Here is a 23,550-nt window from a genome sequence, read left to right on the forward strand (position 1 = left end):
AGAATTGGGAATAGAGAGAGGCTGATCCAGGGGGATTTATCTGGGGCTCTATATTTTATTAAGGATGGGTTTATTTTACAGGCTACCACACTGGTATTAAAAATATTTTTTTAAACAGCAAGAAAGAATTTCTGCAACAAAAATGTAGATTTGTTAATATTAAGAGATGAATTCACTTATTCCCTGAAGAAGTGGCTCAGTGTGGCACCAGCTTTACAGCACAAACTAGAAGTTGTAGGAGTTGGTTCTCTAGCCATGCTCCCTGACTTTGAATCCTGGCCTTGCCACTCACTAGCTGTGGGAGCTCAGGCAAGTAACCCAGTCTTCCTGTGCCCCAGTTTCTTCAACTGTCTACTAGGGTTATGAGAATAAAATGAGTTATACGTAGAACACTTTGGAGAATGTCTGGTTTGGTTAGCACTCAATAAATGCTAAACATTTTTCTTACTGTAACAAAGCATACTTATTTCCAATCTATACACTATTTCAAAAATTTTTGAAGCCATCTTCCCAAAGCAACACATATTAAACCAAAAAAAAAAAAAAAAAGGACAAAATAAGAGAGAGCAAAAATCCATTAAAAGGCTGAGAGATGTACACATACCAAGTACAGGAACGCATTTAACTGCATCATGTGGACCCTAAGTAGACAGCCCTAAGACTTACCGCCTTATATAATCTCTCTTTGATAAAAGCATACAGGTAGATTTTTCTTAAGAAACAAACCTTTTAAAGCACTGAATGCTAAGAGTCATTTACTATATGGATGCTTAAATCAGGAGTTGCAAAGAGCAAATCAATTTCAATCTAAAAAATCAGCAAATGACAAAACTATAGAGATGGAGAAAAGATTAGGGGTTTCCAGAGATTAGAGTTGGTGGAGGGGAGGGCTATGACTTTAAAGGGGTGGCAGGAGGGAGATCTTCATTCTGTATCCCGATGCAGTGGTGATTATAGGAATCTGTACATAGGATAAGATGGCATGGAACTATACACACACACACTGTTAAGTGTCAACTTCCTGGTTTTGATATTATGTTATAGCTACAAGATGTAACCATCAAAGCAAGCTGGGTAAAAGATGAACAAAACTTCTTACTATTTTTGTAACTTCTTGTGTATTTCAAAAGAAACAGTTAAAAAGAAATATTTTTCAAATGGGTATTACACTGCCATAAAAATGTTGTTGCATGGTTGGCTTGAGTTGTTATTTTTCTTTGAAAGAGTTGTTTTCCTTAAAATATTTTCAGCCCCCACCCAGAATCTCAAAGAGACCTTGCCATATCCCTTAATCACATAATCAAATTTTAAAGTTTATATCAAATTTCCATTTTCCTTCCAGGCTTGCATTTTTCTGCCAGTATTGGCAGGCCAACTGTGATCCTCTCAAATTCCCACTGATCCATGCTCAACCATTTGCTTACTATCTCTATCCATGTGGAAGCAATCATTTCAATTCTGGACTCCCCTGATTTATATCAATATTTCTGGATTCCTTTCTGTACCAAGATTTTATTTATGTATTGTGATGATCTCTTTCTCTCTCTGCTTTCCTCTTTTTGTGTCAGCTGTTCTCTGGTGCTGAGCACTTGAAATCTCTAAGACTCTCAAAGAGGCAAGCATTGAGTTGATCTGAATTTATCCAGCTTGCTGAAAGGTAGGTCACACATTTATAAGGATACATTTTCATTACATAAGTTAGAAGCCACTCCATATTCTTGTTACATTAGCCAAAGGGGTACTGATCCTGCTTCAAGCACCAGCATCCACTCAGGATGTTGCTCTCTGACTTGGGGGATGCAAGGACATACCTTTCACTTGCACGAAATCCAGCTGGTGGATGGATTGCAGCAGAGGGCTGTTGTCCAGACTCAAGTCAAAGTCCGTGGTCATCCTTGGAGTGAGTGTGCCTTTACCCCACTGATCCTCAGTCAGGTGCACTCTTCTTATGAGGGCGTCAGAAATCTAATCAGATAAAGAGGACCACAGCCTAAGAAATACACCACCACACTTGAAACACAACACTGCCCCTTGGCTCTCCAGGAGCATTACTCCCAAACTGCCTTGAGGACTCATACTCTGACTGCCTCAGTGCTGTTGGTGAGGAACACCCCATTAGGACTAGGGTGACTCACAATTCATCAAGCAAATCTGAACACTTTTGTGAGTTGGGGGGCACTATAAATAATTAGCAGGTGTTAACTGATTTATTAGACAAATCTGAATATATGATCATGCTATTTATGACAGATTTACTAAATGCCAACAACTTTAAAGGATGGTATGTTGGAAACTAGTTAATTTCTATTAGAATCAATAGCTCAACCCTTCTAATTTAAAGTGTGGGTATCCTATAAAGACTTGGAAATGAGTTTCATAAAATAGTTTAGTGAGGGTGCACATGGAATTTCTCACATTTTAAGCACATCATCTTCATGTGATTATCACTGTATTCTTTGGTAGAAAGCTCTTTCATTTCTTATATTCAATCGCTTTCTGTCACTCTTAGCCAGTTTAGTAGAGTGTGACTTGGAAGAGATCTACATGTTCCTTAACAAAAGGTTCCTTATCATTGGGATCAAAGCTTAAGTAAAATCCAGCTTACACCATAGCATCTCACTAAAACAATTAACACTGAAGAATGAGAAATCTCTGCATTTGAGAAATCACTGACTTTCTGGCCAGCAGAAGGTGTCAAGAAGGTAGACATCTTACAAACTTAGACACTTAGACATCTGACAAAACTGCCCAAGAGATATTAATGAATAAGGACCGAATTCTTGGGCAAGGCAATAACTCCACTTTGAAAGAACTTACAGAGAATTATGTTTTCATGATTAAACAAAAGAAGAAAAAGAAGCGAAAAAAAAAAGAAAAAGAAAAAGAAAAAAGCCCATGGACCTCTCAGACTTGTAGTACATGGTGCCAGAGACTTCCGGGAAGTCAGTGGAGTTTATTTAGCCGGCACTTACTTCCATGTACACTGCAGTGTGAGGTAGGTTCTGTTATTGAGGGACACAGGCCCACCCAGGGCTGTTGGAAGTCTGACTTAAGCATCCTAGACTATGTCCTATGGGACATTTAGAATCTGACGCAGAAACTAGTTAACTCTTACCTGCAAAAAACCACTAGGATCATTTTCCTTAATCACCTCCAAGCAGTACTCCATGAGACCTGTGGTCTGGCGCAATTTCACTGTGCAGTGAGAGATCTGATCTCGAACCACCTAGGATTAAAAAAAAAACAACAGAACAGTCCAAGATGGCAGAGGGTAGAAGAGAAGCAAACTGGACCATTGGAAAGCTTCTTCAAACCAGAATCCATTCCATTCTGGAATGGAACTAAATTTATGAGAATATTTTCTGGCAGTGTCTGCTGGGGATAAGGGCTCTGGAAGACAGATGGGATAAGATTATCAAAGGAAATTGGTAACAGGACCCATCAGAAGGGAAGGCAGGTAGATCTTGGAACCCTAGATCTGGTGACCTTGGTGCATCAACGAACACCTTCCAAAGGTCACTTTGCCCTGCACTTTTCTGTGAAGCTGACTCTGCTGAGCGATGTTTGCTGGGGGGTCTGTGGAGGAGCTATAGTTCCCCAAGATGCTGCTGCAGCTGTGCTTGGTGACACTGTCCACCTTCAGTGCCCTCTACTTTACTTGTAAAGAGCAGACATCACCATCTGAACCCAGTTCCTTTCCCTTCCTGCCCCTCCCCACAGCCCCACGGTCAATTGTTCTGCATCTTTTTCCTTGCGTGGATGGTGGGGGACCTGGAAGGCCAAGGTGGAGCTTGGGAGAGGTAATGAGCTAATGAAAAGCTGAAGAAAGAAGACGGATGCAGAATTAAGTTTTAAGAATAACCCACTGAAACCACTGCCTCATTTGGAGAGCAGTTGTAAAGGCTGCTCATTTGCCAAGCTGTGAGTCTGCTTTAACCTAAATAGGCATCTCTCTGAGCAAGCGGTTTCTGCTTCTAAGAAGCTGTCTGTGCTTGGTGATGAATGCATGACATTCCTTGAACAGTTTTTTTCTTCAGAGGCATTTGTCATTTGTGTCCTCTGCTCAGTAACCCAAATCTTGAATGCCTATATATTTTTTTATTTCCAAAGATGGGGTCCTCCCATGTTGCCCAAGCTGGTCTTGAATTCCTGGGCTGAAGTAATCCTCCTATCTCAGTCTCCAAGTAGCTGGGACTACACTGCAGCTATCTTTGAATGGTTTTTGAAGCGTAAAATTGAAGAAGGGTTTTCCAGGAACCATAACTACTCACATCCCCAATATTTATACTACTTTGCAAAAGCCTAAAATACATCTAGTGTTTTGGATTTTATGGATAATAGCCAAAAGAGAATCTAATAATAATTATTTTAAAATGTTCCTTGTTCCTTCTTTTCATTTTTGGTTATAAATTTATTTTCCATTAAATATTATTTCATCCACTTTCCAAAACAATCAGGAAATAGATGAGAAAAAGCAAATACTCTTATCATTCTAGTGTAAATTTTTAAAGTACTTTGACATTTCTTTTTAGTTTTTCTCTGGAATCAGACTTATTTATCGTTGCAGTCATTGTATATGACAATTTTACCTTCCCTTTCCCCCAACTTAATACTGTATCACAGGCAGTTTTCATGTTGCCACAACCAATGGTTACAAAAATATCCCATTGAGTGGGTAATCTTAATTTGCTTAATCATTCCTGTTCTCTTATTATTGGGCATTAAATTTCTATCTAATATTTTGACAACTCATTCATTCATTATTTCTGATTTTTTTGTTCTTAATGTGTTATTGTGGCAAAATATACACAGCATGACATTTTCCACTGTAACCATTTTCAAGTGTGTAATTCCGTGGCATTAAGTACTTTCACACTATTGTGCAACTATCACCACCATCCATCTCCAGAACTTTTTCATCTTCCCAAATTGAAACTCTAAACCCATTAAACAACATCCCCATTTCCCCTTCCTCCCAGCCCCTGGCAACCGCCATTCTACTTCCTTTCTCTATGAATTTCACTATGCTAAGAACCTCTTACATAAGTGCAATCATATAATATTTGTCCTTTTGTGACTGGCTTATTTCACTTAGCATAATGTCTTTGAGATTCAACCATGTTGTAGCATGTGTCAACATTTTCATCTTAAGAACAAATAATACTCTGATGTATGTATATCGCATTTTGTTTATCCATTCACCCATTGATGAATACTTTTGGCTACTGTGAATAAAGTGATTATAAACACGAGTGTACAAATATCTTTGTAAGTCTCCGCTTTCACTTCTTTGGGGTATTATACCCAGAAGTGGAGTTGCTGGATCATGTGGCAATGCTATGTTTAATTTTTTGAGGGATCACCATACTGTTTTCCATGGCAGCTGTACCATTTTACATTCCCACAGCAATGCACAAGGGTTCCAATTTCTCCACATCCTCGCCCACACTTATTATTTTCTGATTTTTAAAAATATAGCCATCGTAAATGTATAAAGTGGTATCTCATTGTGGTTTCAATTTGCATTTCCCTAATGACTGGTGATGCTGAGCATCTTTTCATACGTTTATCGGCTGTTTGTGTACCCTCGCTGCTAATCAGGTCTTTGCCCATTTTTAAAATTGGGTGTTTTTGTTGTTGAGTTGTAGGAGTTCTTTATATATTCTGGATATCAGTCTCTTATCAGATATATGATTTTCAAATATTTCATACTGTTGGGTGGGTTGCCTTTTCACTCCTTGTGTCCTTTGAGACACAACTATTTCCAACTTACCTATATTTTCTTTTGTTTCCTTTGCTTTTGGTGTCATATCTGAGAAATCATTGCCAATTCCAGTGTCCCAAAGGGTTCCCCCTGTGTTCTCTCCCAGGAGTTTATAGTTTTAGGTTTTGTATTTAGTTCTTTGATCTGTTATGAGGTCATTTTTGGATATGGAGTTAGGTAAGTGTCTAACTTCATTTTTTTTTTTTTTTTGCATGTGGATATCCAATTTTCCCCACACCACTTATTAAAAACACTGCCTTTTTCCCATTGGATAGTCTTAGCACCTTGTGAAAAATCATTTGAGCAAGTATGTAAGAGTTTATTTCTGGATTCTATTCTATTACAGTGGTCTATATATCTGTCTTTATGCCAGTATCCACTATTTTGATTATTGTCGCTTTATAATAAGGTTTGAAGTTAGGAAATGTAAGAACTTCAAATTTGTCCTTCTTTTTCAAGATTGTTTATTTACATCGCCCAATTTTCTGATAGATGATTTGTTACTGCTTTTTAACTTTTAATAATAATTAAAAAGGAAAATAAAATGTAGGATTTAAAATCTCTTTATTGTCACTGGTGAAAGGAACCAACTCTGATGGAAAGATTATTTTTGTGAGTTTTGGGGGGATCAAATTTAAAATTCACTGGTTGATTTATTTTCTTCTGACATCCAGTATGCCTGACAACCACCACCACCATATGTTGGTCTGGGCTCAATGAATACAAATTATTTTATTTTTTATTCATAAAATAACAGGAAGGTTAGGCTTCCATTTCTTGGGGAGGAAAACCCCACAAGTAAAACATTTAAAAATTAAAGAGAGGTGACCTACAGCTAATATGCTATTCCCCTCTGCTGTATGAGGCTGAACTAACTTGTTTCCAGGATGACATTTTTATATTTTGGTAGCCAGTGTATTGGTGCTGCCAGGTAGCAGACACCTCCACAGTCATCATTTCATCATCCAAATGACATCTGCCCTTGACTACAGGTACTGGAAGTCCGAATAATAAGGACAGATCAAATCTGAGCACTATAACCCAGAGTCAGTCTGCTTTTGAGATAAAATAGACTGAATTGTTGTGTTTCCTTTCCAGAGGATTCAGTTCAATGATGCATTCATGTACTGAAATAAATACATTACTCAGTCCTCATAAAATTCCACATTTGCTTCTATAAATTTCCTTATCAAGCATGGTTTATTGGGTGCTGAAGGAGCTATCTGAGTGCTGGGGCTCTCTGCTGACTCTTAAGAAGCTTAATTGTTGCACTGCCAAAGAGCCGGGGAGTTTCAGCAGGGGTTTGCAATTGGCTCCTGCATTCTATGACTCAAGCTCCTTGGAAGGACTCAATATTCTTGAGTTCCTGGCTCTCAATCCCTCACTCTCGCTACAGTTGATTTTGGTCCACCTTTTTTACATTTTAATCAACCATTCACAATGATCACAATAGCTTGTGATAAAATCACTGCGAAAAATTAAACTATGGGGTTCCCAAAGAAGCATTTTGGGTGCCCTGTAATTAACTTAGAGTTTCTGAATTAATTTAGCAAGATTTCCCACATTATAGAAATCAGGCAGATTACCTTAAATCAGATCTTTTAAGAGTATAAATACTTTCTCTCTAGTTGTCTTTATCAACTCTCTTACTTGCTATCTTCTTCAACTTGCGTTACTCATACCACATTTTGTGATCATTTATTTCTACATTGAGTTTTTCATAGAAAATGATTCCTGGAAGCCAGGCCACCTCACTGTTGTCTTTGAATGACACATTTCCGTGCTTTGGCTCTGATGTGCCAGAGAACCCCTTGGCATCACGTATGCAGTGGGCTGGATTCAAGAGGTCCTTTTCTCAGGGACAGGGCAAGTTGCAGGAAGGACACAAACAGGGCCTAGGAGAACAGTCTTCCTGCTTTCATCTGCACTAAAGCCTAAACCAGCTCCCACAGGACAGTGAATTAATCTGCAGTCCACAGTTTCAGAGAAGGCTTTTAAAATTTTATCAGCGGAGCCACCATCTGTTCTGGATGGCAAGTGTCTATTGATCATTTGAACAGTTTTATTTTGTTAAGTGGCAAATTTATAAAGGTCATTTCTTGGGTCAGGATATGACACTGATATCTACTGGTTAAAGGAGAGTCTGAAGGACTGTTGTGTCTCTTTGAATTCTCAGACATTGTCAGTAGCACAGAGCAACTCAGGAGAGAGTACACAATACACAGGTAAAATTTTGTCCTGCCTGTTCACAATTACATTCCCATCACTAACAGACCAATCTCCTTCCTCCAGGCAGTTCATGTGACACAACCAGAAGCAAGACCTGAGGTTAATTAGGAGAATTTCATGCTTAACCCAACCATGACCTTGACACCTTCCCCCACCTCCATTTACCTCTCCATTTTACATGTGGTTCTTTTAAAATTTTTCTTTATCTTTTTTAAATAAATGCTTTTTTCTTTCTTTACTTTTCTTTTTTTTTTTTTTTTTTTTTTTTTTTTAGATAGGGTCTCCCTCTGTCACCCAGGCTGAGTGTGGTGGCACACTCACAGTTTACCACAGCCTCAACCTCCTGGGCTCAAGTGATCTTCCCATCTCAGCCTCCCTGGTAGCTGGGACTACAGGCACATGCTACCCCACCTGGCTAATGTGTATATTTTTGGTAGAGATGGGGTTTCACCATGTCATCCAGGCTGCTCTTGGTGTCAAGTGATCCTCCAGCCTTGGCCCCCCAAAGCATTGGGATTACAGGCGTGAGCCACCACACCTGGCCAGTGCTTTTTCCTATAGTACTCTCTCTCATCATAGGTTTTGATGGGATATCACTAATGAACTGCAGCCTAAGTAAACACTAACATTCTTTCTCTACTATTTCAAAAAGTTCTTTCTTAAATATAAGCTATGCCTTCCCATTATAGTTTAAAACAATTTCCCCCAAGCATAAGGTAATCCTTTAATCCTTTTTGTTTAAGGTCCGGTACAGTTGTCTCCTCAGTATCTGTGGGGGATTGATTCCACGATTCCCTGAGGATGCCAAAATCCACAGATGCTCAAGTCCCTGATATAAAATGGCATGGTACTGGCATATTACCTATGCACATCCTCTTATATACTTTAAATCATCTCTAGATTATTTGTAATACCTAATACAATGTAAATAGGTATTATATTGTATTGTTTAGGCAAGGGCAGGGGTCCTCAACCCCCGGGCCGTGGACTGGCACTGGTCCGTGGCCTGTTAGAAACCGGGCTGCACAGCAGGAGGTGAGCGGCGGCCACCTCCTTTCAGATCAGCAGCGGCATTAGATTCTCACAGGAGCAGGAACCCTACTGTGAACTGCGCATGCAAGGGATCTAGGTTGCCCGCTCCTTATGAGAATCTAATGCCTGATGATCTGAGGTGGAACAGTTTCATCCCAGAACCATTCCCCCCCACCCCCTACCCCCCTGCAGCTCTCTCTCTCTAATAATAATATTAATAATAACATATCATTAATAACACAATAACATTATGTTATTATTAGCATATTAATTATATTAATACTAATAACATAATTTAATTATTACTAATAACATAACATTAATGATACTATGCCATTTTATATCAGGGATTTGAGCATCTGTGGATTTTGGTATCTGCAGGGAATCGTGGAATCAATCCCCCACAGACACTGAGGAGACAGTTGTACTCCATGGAAAACAACTGTCTTCCATGAAACTGCTCCCTGGTGCCAAAGAGGCTGGGGACCAGTGGTTTAAGGAATAGTAAGAAAAAAGTCTGTACATGTTCAGGAGAGACTTTTGTTTCCGAATATTTTCAATCCATTGTTGGTTGAATTCATGGATGCAAAACCCATGGATATGGAGGGCTGACTGTACTTTTAAGATGCAAGTTTGAAGTGTTTGTTCTCCATGCGTCCTTTTGATCAGGAGGGAGTTTCTATGTGTCCCATTGTGTCCTAAAGCATGATGACCAACTGATGCTTTGAATTAACTGTGTGAATTAAAGGGGAAGTGCTTTGGCTGTTAGATCTTTCTGACAAAATAAAGAATTCTCTTGTTTTTTCCAAGAGTAGAACATTATCTACCATTTCATTGTCACGTTCACTAAAACTTACAGCATTTAACTTAAAAAAGAGCATTTTAAATTTCTCACATGCCACCACTCTCCCTCATAGTTTAAGGCAAATATTTTCCCCGTTCTCTTGATACCACCTTCTATACTAATGTTATTAATTTACCCACACTGGCAAACTAATCACTTCAAAGGCAAGTCTGAGGCTTTGCGGTTTTAATCGAGAAAAGGATCATTTAGGCCTTTAAATAAAACACACACCTGTTTTTAGGAAGTCTTGAGATTTTTAACAGTAAAGCTGTGAAATTTCTATTCTAGAAGTGTGAATATCACCAATGCCTTACCAATAAACATGGAGTGGAATATGCAAAGCATGCTCTTAATGTATAGAATACTGTATCCTCGTACAGAGAAGTTAATAAAAGAAGAAATTCAAGACATTGGGAGAGAGAAGCATATTGGGCAGTCCCAACCACACAGGAGAACATTTACCACTGAAGGTGGGTTGCAATAAGAGTGAAGCAGTATGATGTTTTGTAGCATGTGAAGTGTAGCAAGGTATAGTGGATTACTCCATCTCCTCAAAGTATGAGTTAGGTGCCTTCTGGAGGTAAGAGGTGTCACCCATATCTGGGTTGAAGCAAAGAGTACTAAGGAAGCTCTGAGACTGACTTTGATTGGCATTGCCAAAGTGAGTGGGGGGGCTGTTCAGGGGTGTGATTTCTAACTTAGAGGAACTCCAGCTGTGTATGGGGCTTCCTCGTGATTCCATGGGTAGCCTGGGCACCCTATCCCATACAGTCTCTCTTGTGATTTTTGCTCCTATGTGGTGGGAAGCAGAAGACTGCAAAATATGCCAAATGAAACTCTGAAAGGAATTCATCATTCATGATGGGCTTGTAATCAATCATAATTGTGGTTAAATAATTAGAATTGGCTTCTACAGACTTCTGCTGAGGGCAGTTGAAAGCTTCAAGTTGTTCCAGTGTGCCTAATTTTTCCAAATGTCTTCATTGTAATGGAATAACTGAGTTCTTTGTCATTAATTTTACAGGGATTGAGGTGGTTCTTGGCTTGAATTAGTTGCTTTTTTTTTCTAGTAATGACTGTAGCCAGTCAAATAGTATCTAATTATTTTTAATTTTTTTGTGAGCTGGGATGGCCTGCCTGCCTGCCTGCCTTCCTTCCTTCCTTCCCTCCTCCCTCCCTTTTTTCTTTCCTTCTTTCCTTCCTTCTTTCTATCCTTCCTCCCTCCCCCCTTTCTTTCTTTCTTTCCTCTCTCTCATCTGAATCAAAGGATTATTTGCCTGTCATAAAACGATGGCAAAATAGCTGCAGTAAGCAGTTCATATGCCAATAATATCCGTAACGTAAATTTGTGTTCTTAATACGTGATATAATTAATTTTTGGCAAACATAATGGGATCATAACAGGCAATACATGGTAAATAATAACAAAGATAATGGTGAAAAGAATGATAATTATTCTAACAAAACTCATAGATTACACTAGGCCTCAAAATCAAGCATTCTACAGATAGCTACAATGGGCACACGGAGGCCCTCAGTAAATATTAATATGAAGACTGCGCAACATGGTAAGCTTTCTCATCAGCCCTCAGCATCCTCGCTGAGTAATTTTGTTGGTATGTTAAATTTACCAACCACACATGGAAACTGAAAGCTAGAATTTTTCCCCAGAATCATTTGGAATAACTGTAACATTTTTTTTCTTTCAGATTATCTTAGAGTTCAAAGGTAATCAAGAAAATACATATCGCCTCTTACTATTCAATGTGTGAATTCATTCTAAAATATTAGAGAGAACACATTTAAGACAATTTCAGGGTTATGTCAAATTGTGAATGTTACATAAACAACAAATAATTTTCAGATATGTCTTTGGGCTTATCAAGAGAAAGTGGCATATGTAAAGTTTCTGAAGAAAGCATAGATTTCATTAATGGCACAATTTAGTTTAAGTGTTGTCATAAATTCCCTGTGAGGAGCACAGATAGGAAATGTAGGCTTTCTTCAGCTAAAGCAGACCTGGGAAGGATGTTAACACAATGGACAGACCAAGACAAGAAACCTGGAGGTCCAGTGTGCTCTGCTCACTGTTGGAATACTGCCCAAGTAGTTCCAAATATGAGTTAGTAATATTTTTATTGGAAGCTCAAAAACACTTCTTCCCTCAGTAGCTTTCTGACATTCGCATTAGTTCACCACATTCTGAAAATAGATATTTGGCTCCCAGCATCTTATCAAACCACAGAGTAGTATTAACTATAATTTACATTTCAAACAGTTTCCCTCAAACATGTCCACATCTGCATATGTCTCCAAAGCTTTTTTGCTTTTTTTTAGCTCATCAAACTTTGTGAACTATTTTATACAATGATCAATTATGAACTCATGCCACTAAAGAATCTCCCAGGTTCATGGATAATAACACCAGTGTATGAGCTAATTCTAGGCTATGAATTATGGTATCATAGAAAACAAGCCCCTGGAAACTCTTCTTCAGGGTGTTGAATGAAACCATATTTCCAGTCATTCTCTCTCAATCACAACAATAACAGTTAATATACATTAAAGATTGTGCTAAGTGCTTTGCAATGCCCTATGAGGTACCACTTCCAGCCTTATTTTACACACAGATGAAATAAACTTTTGAGCCACAGACTTGCTCAAGATGAGAAACCTAGTAAGTGAGAAAGTGTGTCCTCTCACCCCAGCCTCTATGACACAGAACCTGGGCTCTTTACCACTCAGTTCCATCTTGCCTCAGAACCAGAACTATTAAATCTGTTCAAGCAATCAGTGCTTTCAGAGAGGGACATGAGTAGATTATAAAGACTGCGTAAGTACACACTCACTTTCCAGCATTCCTAGTTTTTTGGATTGCTCAAGGAGAGAGAGTTGCCCGAAAAATACACACACAACTCCTCTCTTTGTCAGCAAAAAGCAGGCCCTCAGAGAACTCAGCCAAAGGGAAGCGGAAGAACATAAGATTACCCCTGCAGGACAGTGAGTGATGGGTTAGCCAACAAAGATAGAAAGAAGTACTGTGCTTGGCAAGTGATGTCTATAAAAGGCCAGTCTTTTCTCACAAATCTGAGTAGCAACAAGAGTGACAAGAAAGGGAAAAGGCAGGGGGAGAGGAGAGCGAGCGAGCCGTGGAGGCCTGTATCAGTGGTCATGACAGTGTGAGTGGCACTGGTGGCTGTTTTTGGAAGCAATGACAGATATAATCAGCTGAAAACAGCAGAAAAACAAATCATTCGAGATAGAAGACAGAACAGCTTTGCTGCTATGGGGGACAGCCAGCCACCTGTCTCTGGTTTCTGCAGTCCTTTGAGGTCTGGGCAGGAAACTCCAGCCTGGGCAGGGTGGAATGAGGGCAGGCAGCTGCCTCTGCTCAGTGGCCCCCAAATGCATCCGCATTCCCTGCTGGGGCAGCCTAGCCAGTACAGATGGACCATCAGAGGAGGGAAGAGGACATAGTCACGCGATGTGGCATCCCAGCGATGCGTGAAAGCCATTCCTGGGCAATGACATCTGCAGCCACAGCACAGTCCTTAACTGATTTTCACACAGTCCTGTTCTGCAGAGGCAACACTAAGCAGGAGGGCAACGGGGCTTCTCATGCCTTCTGCCATTCTTTGATAGGGATAAATGATGCATTCTCAATCATCAAAAAATTCCTCCTCCAGATTGCTGCCTTTATGTCTCTCCCATATAGAAAGGCTGGAGTTGCCCTACCATCACCATGTGACTGTCGCAAACTGTTCACCATGTTCTGTTAAAAAGTGCCAGGAAGTGTTCGCAATGTTTCAAAAGAGATATTTCCATTAAGAAGAAAGTTAAAATGTTATGGCTAGGTACTTAAATAGTTGTTCCACTATTTAGCGGGGAAAACTGTTCAGTTTCATTTCCCAAAGACATTTGTGGTTTTATTTTATACAGTTCTATGTGATTCGAATGATATTTTGAGGACTGCTATAACAATAAAAGTTTTGGGTTTCTGAAGGGTGCTCAGATTGAAGGGCTATAGTGACAGTTTTTTAGCAATGTTAGGCCAGGTGCTGGATACAGAAAACATCCCTTGGTCCTCAGGCCTAACCAGATGGAACAAGACCACAGTGCACATGTGCTAATCACCCACTTCTTCCCTGACAGCTTTGCCGATTCCTGCAGGTAGGAATGTAAATGGTCATTAACACACACTTCCTACAATTTGGACTGCTCAGGTGCCAGCTCTTGAGGTACTCTGTGACCGTTTTAACTGCAAGTAATTTTGCCCTGTCAAACTTCTATGACATTGGGCACCTCTCTCCTGGAAGCCCACTCTGTACCTATGTTGGAGTCAGCTGTGGGTATAGCTTATCTCTTCCATTGAACTGTAAACTCCATAAGGGCAGAAGTCCTTCTGAACCACCTTCATGTCCCTGCCTCCTCCTGCTCCCCTGCCAGCACTATGAGCGTAAGACCAGACCTCATTTCTCCCTTCATCCTAATGCCATATCAACACTGCACACCACATACCCACCACCCACCAGTAGCCACTCTGAAGCCTGCTGGCCACATGTGTGGGCCTCAGCTGATTGTCTACTGCTGGACCCCTTCTGGTTTGCTCTTCCCATGCATTCATCCTTCCTCTCACATCTTGTTGCCCTGCACCAATGGGGTGATAGATGGAATATCAGATGTCTCCTGGAGGACCAGTCCTGCCAATAGGGTCCCATTCTAATAGCCAGTTGATTCCACCATGTCATGACAAAATTCTTTACAGCTTCCAACTGTAAAGTTCACTTGAGAAGTTAAGACAAATCATGCTCATTTTCTAGAAAGTACAGATTCTATTTTTCAATTCAAAAACACATTTTTTTGCCTGTGTATGGCCACCCTATCCAAAATTTCCACCCCTATCCCCAGTACTCACCATCCTCTTTTCCTACTTTTAGAATTTTTCTTAGCACTTTTTACTAATATACTCCATATTTTACTTACTTATTGCTATGGTTTGAATATCTCTTCCAAAACCCATGTTGAAATGTAATTGCCATTATAAAAGTATTAAGAGGTGGAGCCTTTAAGGAGTGATTAGGACATGAGGCCCCTGCCTTCATGAATGGACGAATGCTATTATCTTGGGAGTGGGTTAATTATCATGGGAGTGGGCTCCCAATAAAAGGTTGAAGTTTGGCTCTTATCCTCTCATTTCCCATGCTCGCCTGTCCTTCTGCCTTCTGCCATGGGATGATGCAGCATGAAGGCCCCACCAGAAGCCAACACCATGCTTTTGGACTTCCCAGTCTTCAGAACCATGAGCTAAATATAATTCTATTATTTATAATCACCCAGTCTGTGGGATTCCGCTATATCAACATAAAATGGAGGAAGACACTTATCTTGTTTATTATTTGTCCCTCTTGATAGAATATAAGTCCCATGAAGGCAAGAATTTTGATTTCTTTATTATTCCTATGTCCATTGCAGTTCCTGGCTGAGAAAAGTCACCCAACAAACATTATTTGGGTAAATGAAGGAGCAGGTAGTGAATGAAGGGAGGTGTCTGTTCCTTTCTGGCCAGACCACTGGCTACCCAAGGCTGTGGGCATCCTCTCCTCCTGTCCATGGGAAGGAATTCTCCCAGCCTGTCCATCATGCCCCTCGGGAGCCTGGCTTGTTGGCTTTCTGCTCTTCCCATGATGCAGCACTCACCTTCAGCTTGTGCTCATGCTCCTTGTTGACGCGGGCCAGCAGCTGGGCTTTTCTTCTGTTGAGGGCATCGATGAGGGCATCACATTGGGCCACCAGACAGGCTTCAAACTCCACACTGTTCTCCTGTGTAACAGAGCACATTTCTCAACTGCAAGCTGCTGGGTGCCTCAGGCTGCCAGAGAAAACAGAGCTCCCCCATCCTGCTGAAGGGAATGAAAAGGAACTCTGTCCACAATGCACATTTGGTAATTTTAAAAAAATAACTGGATAAACTTTATTCTACAGTGGTCATGTTTTGCTTTAAATTTAGATTAAAAGGGATAAATATTTATCACTTAAATTTATCAAAAGGAAATCATCTCCACAATTTGAATTCTATTAAGCAAAACAAAGCTTTAGTTCATAGAGTTGTTTATGAATGTTTTTGAGGGCCACATATGTTCAGCTATGTATGGTGGAAGCTGGCATTCAAAAAGGCAATGAGGAGGGAGTGGGGCATTGCTGAGGCACGAGAAATCATTAAATTCAAAGGAATAAAGAAGAAAAAGGATGGCACTGGTCTTCAATATTAACAATAATCCAATGAGAACAGAAGTTTATAAGAATAATGGGTAAAAGTACTTGCCCCTTTCATTAAGGAAAGCAAATAGTAGGCAGAAAAAAACAATCAATGTGTGTAACAGGGATCACCCTGCCATAAAAATCAGATATGACCCAACACCTTGCAGGGGAAAGGCAACTTCATACTAAGTGAATTATAGCTTCCCTGTGATGTTTAAATTAAATGCTGGATATAACCTTTTTATTTGATTTAAATCTGTACATGCCATAGACATTTATTTTAAGCAATTCTTTCAATGAGTTATATGCAGTTATTAAGGATAAGCTTTTCAATGAGTAATATATGCAATTTTGCATATATATGCATAATCTGAAAAAAAGTAATTTACAGTAAACGAAAGCTAAATACTCACATATACGTTAGTAATACTTAAAAAACACCACCCAGTTGAGTAAACTGTAAACTTTTGGGGCTGGCAAGAAAGGCACAATTTAAATTTATTTAAGGCACAAATTTAAATTTATTACCAAAGTCATAAAGAACTGTGTCTTTTTATATAATAATCAACTGGTAGGCATTTAGTAATTGTTTTCAAATGCAAGGTCTTCGTATAAGGAATGCATTAGTAATTGCTTGAGCAATGCTAAATTTTGGCTTTCACGGCAATTGCTTTTGAACTCTCAGAGAAGGCCTTTGGAAAACATCATTTAAGAGCTCTCTATGCCACATGCAGGGTAATATTGGAGGGTGGGGTGAGGGGAAACCTTCTCCTTGTAAGCTCTGTCACTGATTTAGAGCAGAAAGAAAGCTTTGCTCTGATGAAGAGGCCCGGGCAGAGGCAAGCCTGGGGCTGCACATTTTATGCCAGCAGAGTAAAGAAAGAACTGATTGATAAACTCCATTGCTTTGGAAAACAGAAGGAAGTATACAAAACTGCTAGGCTGTTAGGGAATCAAAAGTTTAACATGGGCATGTGTGCCAAAAAAAAAGGCAAAGAAATCAGTGTGTAATTCTTTGAAAGGGTGGCTTACATTTAAAAATCCATTTCTACCTTGACATGGTTAAATATGAACTTAGGCAATTTACTGGAGGCCAGAACTAAGGTTATTTCTGTGAGGCAAACCTCAAAACATAAGAATGCTAAACAGTACAGAAGGTCATTATTTTACTGTCTTATACAGTTTATGGTTTTTCTCCTTCAGCTATAGTGGAGAATTTATGAGCTCTTAAATGCTGGTTGAATTGCTGGTCATTGTGTCTAGATAAAGCAATCTGAAATTATAGTTGCCAGGGGATCATGGTTGAAAAATATTTAAATGTCTAAGCAGAGGAGAAGCATTATTGTGGGTCAGGGAGGAAGAAAAGAAGAAAGAAAGGCAGAAAGGGAGGAAGAAAAAAGAGGAAGAAGGAACAAGGGAGGAATGAAAAAGAAAAAAAGGAAGGCAGGAAGGAAATGAAGGAAGAAAAGAAGAGAAAACTGTGGCCTGTTACCATTAAATGATACAATTATTACAAGGTGTTTTGGAAACCTACAAGGTTTTACAAGCTCAACAATAAGGACCCTGAGTTTACAAAAAAATAGGCCTCTTTCTGAATATTCAGTAGTAGAGAATTAGGACCTCAGTGTGGAAGACAGGAACCAGTTGGAAAATCAGGCTGTGTTTCCGGCTTGTTGGCAAAAAGTAACTACCTCAAGAAGGGGTATGTTTGAAGTTGATCTCTATGTGTTTGTATGTAAAGAACAACAACAACCACAAAATAGGAATTTTCCCACGACACATAAAAATAAAAGAGGAGAAGGAAACTCTCCCGCCACACAGTTACGTATTAACCGGCGGGTTTCCTTGCGTCCCAGGTAACACCCATACCTGGATCTGCTGGACCATGTTGCGCAGCTGTACCAGAAACTCCTTGGCTTCTTTGGCCCTGTCTGACAGTCCGTTCAGCGCCTGGGAGAGCTGGCTCTGCAAAGACAAAGAAGGAAGCCATGGAGCTGTAATCACAGGATACACCAACAAGGCCAGCGAGACTCAAAACTGAAGAGTCATCAACCTCCTCAGATTCCTCTTGTCTGAGGTTGGACCTTTTTGCTGGCATTTGTACAGGTAGATTCTGGTGTCGAAACTCCCTGTGCTCCTGAGTAGTTTCTCCTTGGAAGCAGTGAACACTTCTGGCCACAGCAGTCAAAGGCCCTCACCAGCTGATATCAACCTAGAATTTCTTCATCTCCTCCTTCATTGATTAATTAAACAATCATTTATTGAATACATATTTGCTAAGGACTAAAAAAGCAAAACAAAATAGTGAGTCAGATGATCTAATTCTTATCAACGTTACTTAGCACAAAGGGCTATTGGTCTGGGTAGGGCAGAAAGAATAGAGTAAAGAACAGGATGAAGGAAGGGGTAGGTACTGGTGTGATCCTCTGGGGCCACTTAAATATAATCACAAATTCAATGGGCAGGATGACATTCCACTCCTGCCTCATCCGTGTCCTCTTCCTTCTCCCAAGTACAGCCCTGCTGCCCTAGCACATTTGTGTCCTCTCCTCACTAGCCTCCGACACCAAGGCTTACTCTCTTTCTTTCTTCCCACACCACCCCATCCATACGAGGAGGCAGTTCTGCTGGGTTGGCAAGGTGTCCAGGTAGGTACTTGCTCTTCCAGCCTCCTCGTCCGCTGGGGAGGCCGTGGTACACAATCCTGACGGACGACACCTAAGTGGAAGTCTGCTGGGGACTGGAGGGGTCTGAGAAAGCTTTTGCTTTTCTGCTGATACGGAACCACTGTGATTGATGCAGCCTCTCCACTGTGGTTCCTGACTTTAGGATGGATGTGATGTCTTCCGGCTCACATGAGGAGAAGGCCAATAGGGTATGGGTGGAGGGATGGGAGGGGAAGGAGCTCGGTTCTGATGGCATCTTTGAGCAGCTGAGTCAACACCTGAAACCTTCACCACTAGCTTTCTTGTTATGTGATAAAAATTAACTCCTATTCAAGTCACTGTTCTGGAGTTTTCTATTGCTAGCAGGAATTTATATCAAGTATCACTGTACTTGATACAAATTCCTTCCCCTCCTAGCAGTCTGGGTATACCCTTCCGTACCTCAGGTACAGAGACAGACTCCCTTTCCTGCACTGTCTTCTTTTCAAATTAAAGCCTATTCTCCTTGCCAACACAATGATTCATCTACCCTTTCCTTTCTGTAAAAGGGCAGAACCTTAAAATTATATCTCTTGGTGCTGTGAATGCTTTTCTCTTATATTTGTCTTTTAAATACAAAGTTGGGCACTGACTCTCTAAAAATATGCACACCAAATGCTTGGTTGAGGCAATGTGGGATGGTAGAAAGAATATAGGTTTGAAAGGGTGCAGATTCTCGCTCTATCCCCTATAAGTGTGACCTTGAGAAAGTTACCTTTGTCTGAATTACTCCAATGGAAAAGGTGGGAAGAACAGTAATACTTTGTAGTTGGGTTATTGTGAGGGTTGAATGCATTAATCAATGTGAAAGCTTCTGCTAGTTAAGGGAACAATTCTGAATTCTGAAATGCTGCCAGTTACTGGCTGTTCAACCCTTTATACATTGTTTTACCTCATCCATAAAATCAGAGGAAGAATACTATTCTTGGGTTTTGTGGGCATTGCATAAGATACTATATCTAAAGCCCAGAACCCTATTACCCTACTGGTGCACAGTGCATGATGCGTGCTTAATAAATGCTGGCTGTTAACTTTTTTTTTTTTTTTTTTTTTTTTTTTTTGAGACAGAGTCTCACTCTCTCACCCAGGCTGAAGTGCAATGGTGTGATCTTGGCTCACTGCAATCTCTGCCTCCCAGGTTCAAGCGATTCTCCTGCCTCAGCCTCCCGAATAGCTGGGATTACAGCCGTGCACCACCACACCGAGTGAACTTTTGTATTTTTAGTAGAGATGGGGTTTCTCCATGTTGGCCAGGCTGGTCTCAAACTCCTGACCTCAGGTGATCCACCCACCTCGACCTCCCAAAGTGCTGGGATTACAGGTGTGAGCCACCGTGCCCAACCAGCTGTTAACTCTTATTTGTTTTCTTCATTCTTGCTCACACAAACACCTGCTGACTGGAGGGATTCGCAGGACAGATTCCTGGAACAGGGTCTGTTGGAGAACATTTTCGATCACCTGTACTTTGCTCTATGTATTTAGGCTCCAAGAGGCAAGACCAACACAACTGAGTAAGATAAAGCTCAAAGTGAGCCTACAGTTGCAAAATTCTTTATGATTGGGTCTCAGCTACAATATTATTTGGAGTAAAAGTTTCTCCTCAATAACTATTAATATTTCCAGGAGCCCAAGGGATAAAGGAGGGAAAAACGGTCTCATTTGGAAGAGCAGGCAATAATATGAGAGGCATATTTTAAAGAAGAAATTTTTTTTCATTGTTACTTTAGAACTCATATCTTTTTTTTTTCCTGAATGAGTAAAAGTTTGCTGGACTACCATAGTTTTCTTCCTCTTTTTATTATAACCTATGTTTAGTAACCACACTTAGATGTTTCAGTACAGAAGTAAAATTGATTTGGTTACACAGAAGTGAAGCTGCCTGGTGTCTTGTATTCCAACCTTGCAATTAATTGTGTCTGTATAAGACAGACTTGATACCCATAGATTTTTTGACCAGTTGCTGCTGTATACTTAGAAATACAATCATTCCTAGTAGTAGACAAAGAGTTTTGGCCCCATCTAGTCCCAGGATTTTATATGACAAAGCAGTAAGTGAACTGCAAAAATCAATTTATTTCCAATTTCCTCTTTGTGTTTATGGTCCGTCCCAAGAATGCCTTCTACCTGGCTGATGATTGTTCTGGTATTTGATAAAAAATTGCATTATAAGATAAAGATCTAGAAATCATTCTCTTAAGCTTTGTCCACTTGTAGAAATTGAGGAGACAATGAAAAATCCTGGAAAACTATCACTAGAAAGTGCTCTTATTGTAAGGATTTATATGCACATTGTTTTTATAGGTTGGTATTTTAATCACATTTATAAGCTCCATCTGATGTAGAAGAACATTGTTATTGACTGATTTTGTTTCCCAGATGCATTTAAATTCCTACTCTGTGCTAACAAAGATGTTCTGCATTCAGGACCACAGAGCAGTGCTGGAAATTTATGACCAGAACAATGAAGATGCAAATATGTAGTATGTGTTTTCATCACGGCATCTTTGGTGGTACAAGCAGTCATTTAAGGGAGAAAGGTACGTTCTAAAGCTGTTTATAATGCCTAAGCAGTGACATTCGGATTTCTTGGATATTTGTTTTCTAGGTTACTGAAAAGGTGTCACGATCTGAAGGTGAATGAGAGGAGAAAAATGATGCAGCTGAAGCCCTGATCTCCAGTCAAGTTGTTCTTGGCTGGGAGCATGCTGAGAATCACCGAGGTCTCCCAGAAAGATGACAAGTTGTTCAAGCCTGAAGGAGAGAAACAAAGAACTCTGCCTCCTCCTTCCCTCCTTGCGTGGCTTTCGTCCTCAGCTTCCACCCTGACCCTGGCTCCCCTTGCCTCCCCAGGAGGGAGAGATCAGGCACTTACCCTGGGACTGACTGTGGAGGACGTTTCAGGACCTACTTCTCACGCTCAGCAAATGGGTAATGCAATTCAATCCATCCCGCCCAATGCCTGACTTGCCCAAGCTGCTGAGTGTGCCCAGGCAGAAGACAGTATCTTCTTTCCATTTCCCACTGTAAACATTCTTCACGTGGCCTTTTCCCCTCAATTCACCACAAATATTGGATAGCGATAAACTGGGACAAATGAAAAGAAGCTTTCTGGCTGTCTCGGATCTGAAGTTACAGGCACAGGATGGGTCAAAAGGGTCACTCGAAGAGTTGGTACAAAACAGAGGAGGCGGCAAACAAGCACTGGCAGCTTGATGGCTCAGAAAATGACCCAGCTGCCTCCCCGGGCGTGGGGCACCTTCTGGTGCTGTATCACAGTGCATGCCATTCAGGCACCGCAACACCACTGGGCCCAGGAGCCAAAGCCCACTCCCGCTCCTTCCCAGGTACAAAGATAAACACAACACTCAGGAAAAAAGTGATCATTGATGCAATGGGACTTTGAGGGAAGGCCGCCAAGGAGAATAACAGTTTTTCTGATGAAATATTGATCTCTGGGTCACATTGCTCAGCAATTACCCATTGCCGGTTACTCAGTACATTGCTGACATAGTACAATCAAAAAGTGTAAGCAAGAAATTCTAATAATTGTAAGCAAGAAATTCTAATAATTGTAATACATTGGTCATTTCTTATGAGCCAGGAACTCTGATGGGTGCTTTCAATGCAATCCCAATCACCTCCCTGCCATTTTGCAGAGGTGCCGAGAGGATACCCCTGAGTGAAGGTTTCACCACTCACATACGGAACAGCTGGAACACAAACCCTCATCTGATGGCAAACTCATGCTCTTTGCTCCAGCCTCCCAAAAAAAGAGAATTCTCTCACCCTCACAGGCCAAAACAATTGTTTAATTGTTTAATCCACGGTGAGAGCATGTACAACCAGAGAAGGTGAGAGGATGACTATGATTGATTATGAGGTGGTCTGATTATGCTTAGCAGCCAGATAGTATGTAAATTACAGCATGACTAGTTAACCTATGAAACATTCAACTTTTTTCCTGCATGAAGTTTTCTGGTGAATTTGAAAAAGTCCCCTAAGAGAGGAGTCTCATGGAGGAGGGAAGAAGCTTTGGATTCAGGTCCACTGACAACTTTGTCAACTACTGGCCTAAGATCTTGGGCAGAGATTGGGTGAAGTGGGAATTAAGTAAAGGAAGGAGACCTCACAGAGTGACTGGTACTTGGGGAACCATCAAGCTGAGCTGTCCAAGGGTCCTGATTCCCCCTCTAGGAAACATTTCTATTCCTCCTGCTTGCACCTTTAGTGCCTGCAAGAATGGATCCCTTCTCCGGTTTCTCTGGTGCTGGAAGATCCTGGATATACCCCAACCCCAGTTCACTATAGTCAGATGGACAGGAATCCTCCAAGACCAGCTGGTCTGCAGATGCCAATTTATCTCTAAGCCCAGCAAAGGGCTGGCGCAGTGAACAGGCTATGATTTGCAAAAGAGTAGCTGGGCCTGGGAATGGAAGCACACAGTATAGGGACAAAGGATGTGTGTGTGTGTATGAGTGTGCATATGGTGTGTGTGTGTATGAGTGTGCATATGCCTGTGAGTGTGTGAAAGTCTATGTGTATGTGGGTAAGAATGTGAGTTTAAGAGTGTGTAAGTATGTAAGAATGTGTATGTGTATGTATGTGATTGTATGTGAGATATGTCATCAGTGGAGTATGGGGAGGCTCTTGGCTTTGGGGGAGGCTCTTGGCTTTGAGCAAGGCTGGTATCAGAGGAATCTTATGGGTAGGGATTTGCT

The 23,550-nt window shown here is 40.7% G+C and overlaps 1 protein-coding gene across 39 annotated transcripts in view, besides 1 other annotated feature; it reads right to left on the reverse strand.

Moving 5' to 3' along the window:
• TRIM9 (tripartite motif containing 9) overlaps nucleotides 1-23,550 on the reverse strand; it is a 119,840-nt gene that overhangs the window by 32,003 nt on the left and 64,287 nt on the right. For 29 of the 39 annotated variants that reach the window (NR_170652.1, NR_170646.1, NR_170642.1 and 26 more), the window contains exons 2-5: nucleotides 17,997-18,092; nucleotides 15,567-15,689; nucleotides 3,116-3,226; nucleotides 1,812-1,965 (exon numbers count right to left, since the gene is read on the reverse strand). Coding sequence is in view for 26 of the 39 variants with exons in the window: in NM_001387376.1 (NP_001374305.1) it covers nucleotides 1,812-1,965; nucleotides 3,116-3,226; nucleotides 15,567-15,689; nucleotides 17,997-18,092 (484 nt within the window). In the remaining 13 variants the exon portion in view is untranslated. Of the gene's footprint in view, nucleotides 1-1,811; nucleotides 1,966-3,115; nucleotides 3,227-15,566; nucleotides 15,770-17,996; nucleotides 18,093-23,550 lie in introns of all 39 variants that reach the window. The other 10 variants (NM_001387378.1, NM_001387374.1, NM_001387369.1 and 7 more) reach the window with 5 other exon arrangements.
• Nucleotides 21,123-22,322: an enhancer, noted in NCBI's record as "BRD4-independent group 4 enhancer chr14:51495109-51496308 (GRCh37/hg19 assembly coordinates)". NCBI's record gives its function as "activates an origin of replication core promoter dependent on BRD2, P300/CBP, MED14 and CDK7 cofactors, and independent of BRD4, by STARR-seq in HCT116 cells {active_cell/tissue: HCT116}" and the evidence as "EXISTENCE:reporter gene assay evidence [ECO:0000049][PMID:35650434]".

Source organism: Homo sapiens, chromosome 14, assembly GCF_000001405.40.
Source record: "Homo sapiens chromosome 14, GRCh38.p14 Primary Assembly".
Lineage (NCBI taxonomy): Eukaryota > Metazoa > Chordata > Mammalia > Primates > Hominidae > Homo > Homo sapiens.